At 35.7% G+C, this 13,122-nt stretch overlaps 1 protein-coding gene across 5 annotated transcripts in view; it reads right to left on the bottom strand.

The window, feature by feature from the left end:
* The window catches only part of RASA2 (RAS p21 protein activator 2), a 128,318-nt gene continuing 118,074 nt past the window's right edge, over nucleotides 2,879–13,122 (bottom strand). For all 5 annotated transcript variants that reach the window (NM_001303245.3, NM_001303246.3, NM_006506.5 and 2 more), the window contains 5 exons: nucleotides 10,463–10,545; nucleotides 9,526–9,734; nucleotides 8,700–8,803; nucleotides 8,157–8,346; nucleotides 2,879–5,940 (listed from right to left, as the gene is read on the bottom strand). In NM_001303245.3, the coding sequence (NP_001290174.1) occupies nucleotides 5,910–5,940; nucleotides 8,157–8,346; nucleotides 8,700–8,803; nucleotides 9,526–9,734; nucleotides 10,463–10,545 (617 nt within the window). In that variant the 3' untranslated portion in view covers nucleotides 2,879–5,909. The remainder of the gene's footprint in view (nucleotides 5,941–8,156; nucleotides 8,347–8,699; nucleotides 8,804–9,525; nucleotides 9,735–10,462; nucleotides 10,546–13,122) is intronic.

Raw genomic sequence — 13,122 nt, 5'->3', positions numbered from 1 at the left:
GCAATCCAAAAAAGGTAAGTGAATCACGTCATTGAGCCACTTGACCTCTCCATCACCCAGGTCTCCTGTCTCCCATTCCCTCTCACTCATCCTGCTTCAGCCACACCAATCCCCTTGCTGTTCTTGAGTATACCGTGTAATTTTATTTCTTCTTCCTATGAGGATCTTCCCCTCATATCACATCACTTCGCTTCCTATCCACATCACTTCCTTCCCCACCTTCTTCAGGTCTTTGTTGAAAAATATCTCCTTCCTTGACCCCTCATCCTATTCAGCACTCCCTGTCTCTTTCCTGCACATTACTTTGCTCCATACCACCATCTGACATATTTTACTTTTCTTCAATTTCCCAGAGTTCAAGCTGTAAGGGACCAGTGATTTTTGCTGTATTCTTACTCCTGACACATAATTTTGATGGCAGTTTATTACTAAGACTTTAGGTCAAGATTTGGAATTTACTTTAGCCTATATTCCTGTGTTTTCCAAGCTTTAAAAGCAAATGTCCCACATTAACACCAAAACCTCAGGCCCCAAAGGTCTCCAGGTGAGAATTATGGCCTCATCTATGACTCTCTCTCAGTGATGATTTTGTTGACCTTTGTTTTTGGTAGTTTGTATTATAAAATTAGGTGACATTCTGCATTTCCAAACGTAAAATAATATTGATAATGTCTTTCAAACTACATTCTGGCTGGGCAAGGTGGCTCACACCTCTAATCCCAGCACTTTGGGAGGCCGAAGTGGGCGGATCACCTGAGGTCAGGAGTTTGAGACCAGCTGGCCAACATGGTGAAACGCTGTCTCTACTAAAAATACAAAAATTAGCCGGGCGTGGTGTTGGGCACCTGTAATCTCAGCTATCCGGGAGGCTGAGGCAGGAGAATTGCTTGAACCTGGGAGGTGGAGGTTGCCGTGAGCCAAGATCCCACCACTGCACTCCAGCCTGGGCGACAGAGCGAGACTCCACCTCAAATAACAAAAACAAAAACAAAAAAACTACATTCTGATGCAGATTCTGAGGTGTCTGTCTAGGGATCATTTACCTCATTGTGCACAGGGAACCATTAAAATAATGGTTGCTCCTTTAACTCTGCAGGCAGTGTGGTCTTCTTGGTTCTGGATGGAGTTGAGAAAAAAAATGTTAAGTTTGGAAAACAATGTTATCTGCTCTAGACAACAGAATTCTTTCTTGATGAGTAAAATTTATGTATCTAAGACTGAACTCCATCTCAAAAAGCAGATCAATAAAAAGCACAAAGCCTTTGCCTAATAGTACAAAACAAAAAGGTTTGAAATACAAGGCAGAAAAGCGATGAAATCTTAATAGTACTTTAATTAAACAAGTCACACCTCTGCTGTCAATATAAAAAATAGGCATAAGCTCAAAATATGATGGCAAATGGTGTCCCCAAACTGTGAAGTCAAATGGCAAAATGGTAAGCCAAAGAATGAACTTCTTGGCCACAAAAGAGCAAACCTCAGGTGAAGGTATGTATGAAGAATTAAGACCAAAGATCTTTAAATATGGTCAGCACCCACGACAGGTTATTCTCTGAAACGTTTCCAGAGGAGTTCAGTACTTGCCACTGGAGTAGAAAAACATATACCAGGAGTGGCAAAGTATGTCTTGTTTCTTATTCTTGTGTAATAAAGGGACTCTGGCCCTAGGTGTCTCTCATTTTGGAATCATACAATTTGAAATAGGAGTATGGTCCCCTCTCCCTTAAATGCCTAGTTTACTTCTATCGTAGACTAGAACCCTAAATCTGATGCTTTTCACAAGTTCTATTCTATACATGGGCTAGTATGACAGGAATTCTAATGTTTCAATAAATATAGAGATTCAGAACCCTATCCTTTGCACTTTGTTAACCTTTAATTCCTCCGGAGCCCAGGGACTTTGTTTTATAGAAGGGTTTTTCAGGGATGCTATTATAAAAGGGTTCAGGCACGAATCAGGGAGGATCCTGGCTTCTCTTGTTGAGGGCACAAGTTATACCCACTAACCTGGTCTCTGGTGCTGTCACTTTATATTCTCCAGGCATCTCACCAAAATGGCAGAACACAGGCAAATTCTAACATCCTGAAGGATGATGCACTGAAGGTCAAGCTATGGGGTAGGTTAATCTGCACGGGTCAGTGCAGGGCCTGAGTAACCATAGGCTCTGAAAGAATTCTTCTTTCTACTCTTCTTTAAAAAGTCAAACATAGTCTGGAAAACTCAGCTTTAAACTTTATCTAGACACAAGTGAATTATATTCCTCCATGACAGTTGTACATGGCTCTAGGGAATGACAGGAGCCTGCAAGGTGTTTTGAACACCATGGGTCCTCAAAACAAGTCTGTTGAATGAATGAACATGTAAGAACACAGCCCATTAGAGGCTGGGCGCAGTGGCTCACGCCTGTAATCCCAGCACTTTGGGAGGCCGAAGTGGGCAGATCACAAGGTCAAGAGATAGAGACCATCCTGGCCAATACGGTGAAACCCCATCTCTGCTAAAAATACAAAAACTAGCTGGGCGTGGTGGTGCGCACCTGAAGTTCCAGCTATTCGGGAGGCTAAGGCAGGAGAATCGCTTGAACCCAGGAAGCAGAGGTTGCAGTGAGCCGAGATTGTGCCACTGCACTCCAGCCTGGGGAGAGCAAGACTTCGTCTCAAAAAAAAAAAAAAAAAAAAAAAAAAAAAAAAAAAAAAAAAAAGAACACACCCATCAAAAATCAGCCTAGTTAAGTGCAAGAAAACTGAACACTTTTCAGATTGCATCATTCTTACTGGAGACTTCTCACTTCCACAGTTCCCTTACTAATAGGAAAGGTATAATAATTTTAAGAAGAAATTACTAAATCAGTAAGAAAATACAGTCTCACAAAGAACAGACAGGCTTCTTGTAATTTATTTGAGTTATTTCCAAGCGACAGTTACAAAAGTTAATTTTTATAATACTCTTGATAAGAAAATAAAATTTAAATAAAAATACATTCTCAACAATACAACATGGTTACACAAATTCACTACATTAAGTTTTGATAACTTACATTTTCAAACTGGGTACTGTAAAAACCAATATTTACTAGCAACATATTAATTTCCAAATTAATAAAAATGGAAGCAGATAATATCAACCAAGATTGGTAATTTAACTCTAGAATGAGTCTTGTATTTTTCACATACTGTAAAAACACCTAAAAGGCTATGCAGAATTCTGTCTTTACAGGATGTACCGTTAGAGCAAATTAAAGGTGCTTTCACTTAAGAAAAAGATCTGTTTTTCAAAACCTGGCATAAATGAAATCAGGCTTCAGAAACAGAAACAAAAGCCATATTATTCGTCACCTTTTTTTGTTTCATAAAAAAAAGCCTAGTTTTCACACTTACCCATTACCCGTGATATTAAAAACAAGTTTCTTTGGCAAATAAAATAGTTCAATTTGATAAATTATATTCCTGGGAGTAAAAATGTTTGCTATTGCCCATCATCTTATTAAATGAATATTAAAAAACAAAGCTACACAAAAACAAAACAACAACGAAACAAGCAACAGATCACACCACAATTTCAACTGATGGAAATGGCTAAACTAAGAACCAGAACCGGCATTTATGGCAAATTTCCCCATATCATCCTTTTCTTTCCTTCCTGGAGTTTTTAGGTTTTTAGGATGAAGTGAGCTGCCTTGTATATTTTCAAATGTGGAAAAGGTAGAGAAAGAATATCAGGTAGTAAAAATTAAAACATTTGTAAGTAACAGCAGAGGAATGAGGGCCCTGGAAGCAAATTCCTTGGTTGTCTTAGGGTCCTACTTACATGGTCTCTTATTTCAAAAGACTTTCAAAGAAAAATAATTTAATTTCACATTACTCCTTTTTTAGGCTGTGCCAAGTTGGTTAATTCCAGTCAAACTGGCTGTTTAAAAGTGTCATGTGAAGAAAAGAACTAGATGGCTGAACTCTCCTCCTTTCAAATCCAGAGTTATATATGCACACAGCCTTGGTCCCTGTGATCATACCATGATCTTTAAAACAATCACAATTGGGGATTTGGTATTAGAAATGCTAGATGCATATTTCTTTTGCCTTAAAAAAAAAAGCAGAGGACTAAAAAGCCACTAAAGAATAATGACTGGTATCTGGCAATGTTTACATGTTCTTCGCAGGCAGACATTTCAGACACTCTTAAAAGGAATTTTAATCTAAATGCAATTTGAGAATAAGAAATTTATTAAATGGCTAAATTCTTTCAAATGTATAAATCAGTGTAGTTTATGGAATCTACAAGCTTATAAAATTTAAAGGACTCTTTCAAACTTGTCTTTAAAATGAGCTGGGAGTAATAACCTACCATAATGCAGACTTAAACATAATTCATTGATTTTTACAAGTCATTTAGAGAAATACATTGCTCAGTTATATTCTTTTATGGAACAACTTTGATTGTATGCCAGTAGTCTTTAAAAATAATTACCTAATAACAATATAATTTAAAAATGATTACCCACCAATAACAAAATTGGCAAAGTATATCTTGAAATATAGCTTATGCTCAGACAAAAAAAGTACTACTAGCAGACTTACATTAATAAGTCACAGTTTTGAACAGAAACATGTAAATACTCCAAGGTTCAAAGTACCACATTTAGAAAATGTTTTGAATTAAAAAAGACAAAATAAGAGTACCATGGTTTTTAATACTGATGAAGCAAAGTGTATCCCTCAACTTCAAGGTGGCAACTTGCTTCGACTGCTTATTTACAGTTAGGGTTTTTAGGACAAAAGTAAATTTCTAGGGTAAAAAAGTCTTCAAAGAGTTGCTTGCCCAAATTCCATTTGGCTAGCAGGCAATAAGGAAACAGCAATGAAATATAAACATTTTCAGGAAAGCATTATTTTTAGACTTAAACACTGATCATTCAACTGATCATAAAGACTAGATACCATGGAGTATCTAAAGTCAAATCTGGAGCAGTCCAGATTATTAAAGTGCGCCAAGTGACTGTTCTCGAGGAAGATCAGAACCGAACACTATGAGGAGGGCATCCTTATGGTGGCCCTTATTACAACATGAAATAGTGGGTGAAGTGAAGTGATTTTCCCACCACCTTCATTCCCTGTTTACTTTCTTTTTGAAGAGATGTCCTTAGAAGTCATGTTAAACTTTCAAATCAAGAAAATGAGTACCTGGTATTTAAAACAATGAAAACAATTTCAGTGGTCTCATTACTTCTTTTGCCATCACTGATCCCAAATGTAAACAAGATGCACACAATAGCACATATTCCCTGATTCCTTCTGTCTTGAGTTTTGTTTACATCTTTAGGCAAAAGGATCTACCAACTTTCAAGTATGCTCTGGCAGTTTTCTAAAGTTTCTATCACTGTCTTGAATGGAACCTGTAATGACTGATGGACCAAAGGAAAAACACTTCTTATTTTTTTTCTTTTTTAAAGTGGGAGGGTCTACATGAACTAAATGAAAAGCTCTGAACTGTCATGAATTGGAATTTTCTAGTAAAACACAATGTTGGCAGTATAGAGCAGGCACTGATGGTAGTGAAAACAAGTCCACAGAACAGAGTGTTACAAGAAGAGATGGTTTCTTGCTACGGAGGAGTTCTCCCTTTGTTACAAAGCTTTTCTAGGAAGATTCTTTCGATTAAAAAGAAGTTGCAGAAACATGGATTTGGTCACACAGGTATGAAGGGAATCTTGGGCTTTAAATTCTCTAGTAATACATCAATACCAGGATTCCCAAACAATTAATTTCAATTATTAAATATTAAATACAATGTGGAGGCAGATGACATTGAAGCGGATGCTCATTCTTAAATACCATGAACAAAATACATGATGAATTGAAAAGCTCCAAGAAAAATAATATTTTCCAGTTCTTCTGAACCAATCTGTTAAACTCTAAGATGCTTTCCCAACAATTGGATTTTCCCTAGAGAAGAAAAAAAGTCATTTTTCAAAATTTAAGAAATACAAAAATTTAAAGGGTGACAAATATATAATCCATTAAGTATTTAGAATTTTCCCTGGATAATCTCTCATGCCAAATGTTGTTTCATTAATTCAATGAGTACTTACTGACCACCTATTCAATCTTAGACCCTAGTGTAGAACTTAAAGATAAAGTAGTAAACAAAACAGACCAAGAAAACCCTTGCCATCATGGAACTTACACTCTGGTATAGGGTAAATAAAATTAATAAGATATTTAGTATGGTAGAGGTTGATATTTTTTAATAGAGAAAAATAAAGCTGGGAAGTGGTATGGTGTGTATGGGTATGAGTGGAGAGGTACTATTTAAGAAAGAATGTCTGGGATCTCATATGGAAACTTCCCAGGGCTCCAAGGAAACTGGATTACTACTGTTGGAAGAGAACCAATTACATTAATACAGAAAAGACAGGATTAGGATGCTTCTAATAACCTTTCTAATTGAGGCATCTATCTAGGAAGAACATATAAATATTTATACTTGTCAAATTGATTTTTATTGTACATGAATAAAAAATATAATTATTAATTCACATATTTTTCAAAGAACATTTAAAGTGGTAGGGCCAGGATTCAGAGCCCTAGTCAGCAGTGTGACTTGTCAGCTGTGTGACCTTGGGCAAGGCACTTAGCTTCCCTAAGCCTCCGTTTCTCTAGCTGTAAAATGAGGATAAAACCAAGTTGGGCTGATTTGAGGATCAATGAGTGTTCACTGTGGCAAACACTGTTCCTTGCTGGCCCAAGACCCATCCCCGCCCTATCCACTTCTTTGTAACAGACCCTGATTCTGCTCTACCACTGGGTAGCCATGTGTTTCAGGGAAAGCTGGGGGTAACTCTAGAGAAGGTTCCTTTCTCCTAGTACGGAGAAAACAGCCTTTTCTGCCTCTGGATGCTATCATATAAAAATGTGGGGCTCTGAATTATTGCAGCTCATCTGTGACCATGGGGGAACAAGCTTGAGGAGGAGAGAAATCACCTTGTTGAGGTTGGCTGAGTGGCAGGTGTTCCTTGATGACAGTGCTGAGCTGCTGAATTAACCAACTGTAGAAGTTAACTACTTAATTTGCAAGAGTAAATAGTTTTATTGTTTAAGCCACCTCAATTGGGACTTCATTAACTTGCTTCTAAAAGCAATCTACATAAGCTGTAAAGTACTATAAGCACAGTGCCCCTTGCTGGAGTAAGTTCCCAATAAATGCGAGTTGTTGCTGTTGTTATCCATTGCAGTATCCATCTACACCTGAAGTGGTCCAAAAAATCAACTATAAAATAATTCTAGCACTTTTACAGCTTAATTTTTTTGGGGGTGAGTTTTGTGAATTCTTATTATGTACTGTAGAAGGAGGATCAGTAAAAACAAAAACAAAACGAAGAGCTACTAAGTATTCAAGAAATGAATTACAACTGAATGTAACATTAAAACTGGTTACAGCCTGGTGGTGTTGGCTCATATCTGTAACCTCAGCACTTTGAGAGACGAGGCAGGAGGATCGCTGGAGGTCAGGAATTCAAAACCAGCCTGGGCAACATAGCGAGACCCTGTTTTTACAAAAAATAAAACAAATAGCTGGGCACAGTGGTGTACACTTGTAGTCCTAGCTACTCAAGATGCTGAGATGGGAGGATCGCTTGAGCCCAGGAGTTGGAGGTTACAGTGAATTATGATCACACCACTGCACTCCAGCCTGTGTGACAGGGCAAGAACCTGTCTCTACAAAAACTAAATATATATATATATATATTTATATATATAATATATAAATATAAATATATAATATATAAATATAAATATATAATATATAAATATAAATATATAATATATAAATATAAATATATAATATATAAATATAAATATATAATATATAAATATAAATATATATAAAATATATATTTATATACATATATCATATATAATTTCATATACATATATATGAAATTAAAAAGTCGATAAAGTATAGCACCAACACAGTGAAATGATGGCTAAACTGAACAACACAAAGAGCACTTGGAGTGGCCAGGGAAACTTGCACCAGAGAATGGCCCTGAGCGGGATGTTGACAGATGTGGGTGAGCAGGAGGTGTGAGGTTGGGGCAGGAGAGGCAATCTCAAACTCCGTTTAAAAATATGTTTACAATAGCTTAAAAATTACTCACTTGCTCCCATATTTTGCACTACTGGATCTTTTCTTCCTATATTTTTCATGAGGTTCATCCAGCTTCTCAATTATGCTTTTTATTTGCTGAATTGTCTTAAAGGTTGTTACAGAATCCTCGATTACAAAGTTAGAATAATCATCAGGCTCTTTCTGTGGTCCTTGATAGACTGCAATAGTTCCACAAGCCTCTACAAAGAGCAGGAAAATAAATCTCTGATCAGACAACTAAATTCTATAAATGCAATATGTAGTACAAATAAGAATTTTTCAAGTGTCTTATGCTGAGGGGATTTCCCTTGGCAGAGCCGAGATAACTAAAATATATACATTTTATTTATTAGGATCATCACATTCATGCAAAAACAGTATTTTTACTTCATGAATGTCAATGAAAAATGCCTCTCTGTGGGTTTGTCAACTTTCAATAAATAACATTTTGGTAAATCTATGAGTATTTTCAACTTTTGTATAATGCTAAAGCAATACTTTAGGAATTGGTAATGAAAGATTATGGTTATATAAAAATAGATTGTGTATTTACCTTCCATCTTCTGCAGCTTAAGTAAACTGAGGGTAAAAAGGGAATAAATTCTTTCTGTTTCTCTGTCTTCATCAATATCTATTTGGATGTCTGCAGGGACACCTCTATGGTAAAAATAAAAAAATAAAGATATTATACAAATTTTATTTTGTTAACATGCCAAGGACTTCTGATGGTTTGAGACTAAAAATAGAACCACAGACTTTTGCAGAAGGAAGTCTGGAAATTTAGTTTCATTTGACAGTTAAAATAAAGTGGGGCCAAGGAGAGTTTTGGTTGTTATGTGACTCTAATCAGAAGGAGGGAAATTTTAAAGTAAAATCATTTCCACAACCTATGCTTCATCACAAAACAATATATTATTACTTAAGTCTATAGAAATACAATGGTTGTTCCATACAATTAGAAAGAGAATGCTAAGGATCCTTCTTTCTTGATATCTTGGTTCAAGCTCATGCTTCTATTTAAACATTGCCTTAAAATTTTTTAACTTGTGCAACCACTATTAATTTTGGAACATTTTCTTCACTCCTAAAAGAATCTCTGCATCCAATAGCACTCCCCATTCCTCCCTTCTTATCCCTTGTAACCACTAATCTACTTTGTGTTTCTATGAATTTACCTATTCTAGACACTTTATATCAATGTTATCAGATAATACGTGGCCTTTATGATTGACTTCTTTCACTTAGCATAATTTTTCAAGGTCCCATCCTTGTTGTTGCATGGATCAGTATGTCATTCCTTTTCATGGACAAATAATATTAACATTGCATGGATATATCAAATTTTGACACACTGCTTTTATAATCAGAAAGAAACTTACGCAGTACATGGCTTGCAGCCGAGAGTGTTTTCACCAGTCTCCTGACAGCAGAGCCAATTTCCGTTCAGATACACAGAGGGATGATAAAAACTGAGCCTGTTTTGATTGCATCGGCTCACCCTGCAGAGTACGTCTATCCATTCATTAGCTTCTACACAGTTATTTGCCTGGACATAGAGTGGTTTCTCCGTATGTATTACTTGGAACATCTTCATAGGCAATTAAGATAAAAAGTTAGTGACAAGAGTCCAAAAACCAACACACAGTACAAAACAGAAGAAAAGTACCTAAAGGAATCTAGTTGCTTGGCTAGATAACTGGTGCTAAGATGTCTTAGAAATTATTATGTTTCAAGCAAGTTAGTCCCAAGCATAATCTGAGTCACATGGTACTAAGCAGTACAAAAGAATGTAAGTTTTAGAAGCCACACATATCCAAAGGAATGGACTATCATATAGATAAGAATAAAGGGAGGGAATTGTTAATGGAAGAAAAAGTATAAAGAAAAAGCAGTAGAAAAATATTTAGGAACAAGGAAATCATCCTGGTTGGCTTAAGTGTATGGTATGCACTGAATGGGAGCAGAAGACAAAGCTGGACAGATAGCTTGGGACTGTATTACTTAGAAACTTGAATATCATGTACAGCAGTATAACAGGGAAATCTTGAGAAAAGTATTTTTAACTTAACAAACTAGGCAAGCTATATGAGGCATCAACAATAAAGGACAATTTTAAGACAGAGTTTCAGCTAGCTATTTATGAACTATTAATGATTAATAGTAAACAATCCAATAAACAACTTCTTGAAAATTTGAATACAAATATCTAAGTAATAGGTGATACAAATACAAGGTATTAACAAATACCTCGAAATACAAATACTTAAGTAATATATGCAGTTCAGAAAGCTTTAAATATTTATTTACATAACTTACATTTTTCTTGTTGAAAGAGCTCTCTTCCAGTTTTTCCACAGCAAGAATGTTTTTTACTGGGATTGTGTAGATTGCATCTTTGCCTAAATAATAAAAAAAGTAAAACAAAATTAAAGTAATTTCCATCAGAATTATAAAGATGAGAGGTTAATTCTGTAGGGTTTAAGCTCATCCTCTTGATGGTAGGAGTGTAAATAACCTACAGAAGACTTACAAATGGCATATATATAAATATTTGTTTCATGGAACAGATGAATTTTGATTGTCTTCTAAAGTGACCACTGCTTTTCTTTGCCATATAATATTAAAACATTTTCAAGGAAAAATCTGGGACTAAATTTGATCTCTGTGTAGAACGTAAGAAAGTTACAAAATTTTATATATGGGGACTGAAAAAATAGACTCAGCAAAAGAGGCCAACTCAAAACTTGCCTAGACAAGGACTTTTCTTTCATGGAGGAGTTACTATGTAAGCAGTGACTATGACTACCTATGTGCATTTTTATATTTTTCTAACCTAAATTTAATGAAGGGATTAACCCTCAAAATAATATTTCTAAACTGAAAAACTGTTCATTATTGTCCCATATGGGTTGATCAGCCACCTGATCAAAAGCTACAAAATTTAAGAGATGTAGGGAAAAAAAGTAAAAATCTTATCTGGTAGAATGAATCCTTAACCTAAGACTTTGGAAATTCCATTAAGGAAATTTGAATTTGCTAAAGGAGCTCCATAATAACATGGCATAAGAATATGATGCATTTCAACTTAACGATTTACCTGAGAATAAATTATATCTCACATAGTCATAGAAACTATAAGCAAACATAATTCTAACTTCTGGTCATTTTGTAATATTGTTCTTAGAAAAATCAAAGCTTTGCTTTTATTTCACCCCCAAGCTTTGCTTGAATGACATATAGATTGAAGTGCTGGAGGTTAAGAAACTTTGCATTTTATATTATTTAACCAATTAATTGCATAGTTTTGGGCAAAGAAAACTATTTGGTTAATAAAGGTATGTTTCTTTTTTTTTTGTCTTGACAGAGATGTTAAGATGGAATATTTGATAAGCCTGGTTTCTGGTATAAAATCTAAAATTTATGTAATTCAAGCAAATGTGACATATAATGTTTTTAAAAAAGATAAAGTCACTTAATTCAACTATCATATACTGAATGTCTATTATATATCAGGCACTGTTCTAACCACTTATGATATAGCTGTAAATAGATCATATAAGGCTCCTAAAGGAGTATGCATTTAGGTCTGGAAAGACAAAAGACCATAAATATTAAATAGAGATGAATGCTACAATGAAAATAAACTGAGGTGATGTGATAGAAAGTGAGAAATTACTTTAAATTGGGTGGCTAGGAAAAAACTTTCTGAGGAAATGACATTTACAGTTAACAAATATAAATCATAAATGCATGAGATAATAAGGAAAGACTATCAGCAATCTCCTAGAATCAGACGAGATTATATTTATGGGGGTGGGGAATTGAATGGTGGGGCAGGGAGGCAGTAACTGAAGGAAGCCATAGTCTAAGCCAGATGTACAATAAGACATCTGCAAAAGTAGGAGTGGTTAAGGAAGAGTTTCAAGCCAGAGCCAGTGGACACAGACAGCTGAAGGTTGGGGGCACTCAGACATACATCAGGATGATTAATCGGTGAGTTGCATGTGGAACAGCTGGGTCAATCAGGCCCTCCCCATTCCCAGGTTTGTGCTAAGCAGCAGTCAACAGAGGCATATATTCACAGGCTAAAGCAGCAAGGATGCATACTGGGCTGCAGAGCAGTGCAATGTCACAGGTAGCTGCTAACTCTCAGAAGGGAAGGAGAGAATACCCACACCAGAAGACAAGCAACAGCACTCCTGCCCCTCAGCAGCTTGTCCTGTCCCTCCCTCATAATCATTGGCAGTAAGCTACTCAACACTCAAGTAGGTAAATGGACTGCAAAACACAAAGATGAGTAAAACACCAAAAAAAAAAAAAATCACCAGTTAAGGAAACTCATCACTCTGAAGAAGAGACATATGTGCAACAAAGGAGGATAACATCTGAGGAAATCAGGAGTTTAAGAAATTGGGGGGGAAGAGACCTATGTCTTTGGGTACTAATTTACAGGGGGCATTATAGTCAGAGAATTTTAAAATTTTTCAAGGAGTTTCTATCTTTAGATTTGTTGAATACACAAAGAATGCACATACCCTGAAAATTGCTATATTTATTCATTTCTGGACAAATTGTAACACAGCATATGTGGAGAAAGGGCATTGCTCCCAGGCACATATACTGTCATGATATCATTAGGGTTAATTTCACAGTTAACAGTGTTAACTGGAGTGAACTGCAATGTGAGTTAGTGAAAATGAAAGATTTTACTGAGGTCTTTCCAAAAATACAGTACAAGAAGAAAAAGAAGCAAAAATAGAATAGTTAAGTACCATCGTGGATGGATTTAGAAGTTTTAATATCTGACAAATAAGAGTATTCAGGAGAAAATTACACATAAAAATGTCCCCAAGATAAAGTCAGAAATCTTCAAATAGAAAGTTATCCACCAAGTACTAAGCAGGATGGAAGAAAAAAGAAAACCTCCTAAATACTAGGCAGAAAAACATTAGAACTTGAAGGCTACAGAGAGTCCT

The sequence above is a fragment of the Homo sapiens genome, chromosome 3 (genome assembly GCF_000001405.40).
Source record: "Homo sapiens chromosome 3, GRCh38.p14 Primary Assembly".
NCBI classification, from domain to species: domain Eukaryota; kingdom Metazoa; phylum Chordata; class Mammalia; order Primates; family Hominidae; genus Homo; species Homo sapiens.
Note: the sequence above shows the minus strand (reverse complement) of the source record. Positions and strands in the feature narration are given on the sequence as shown.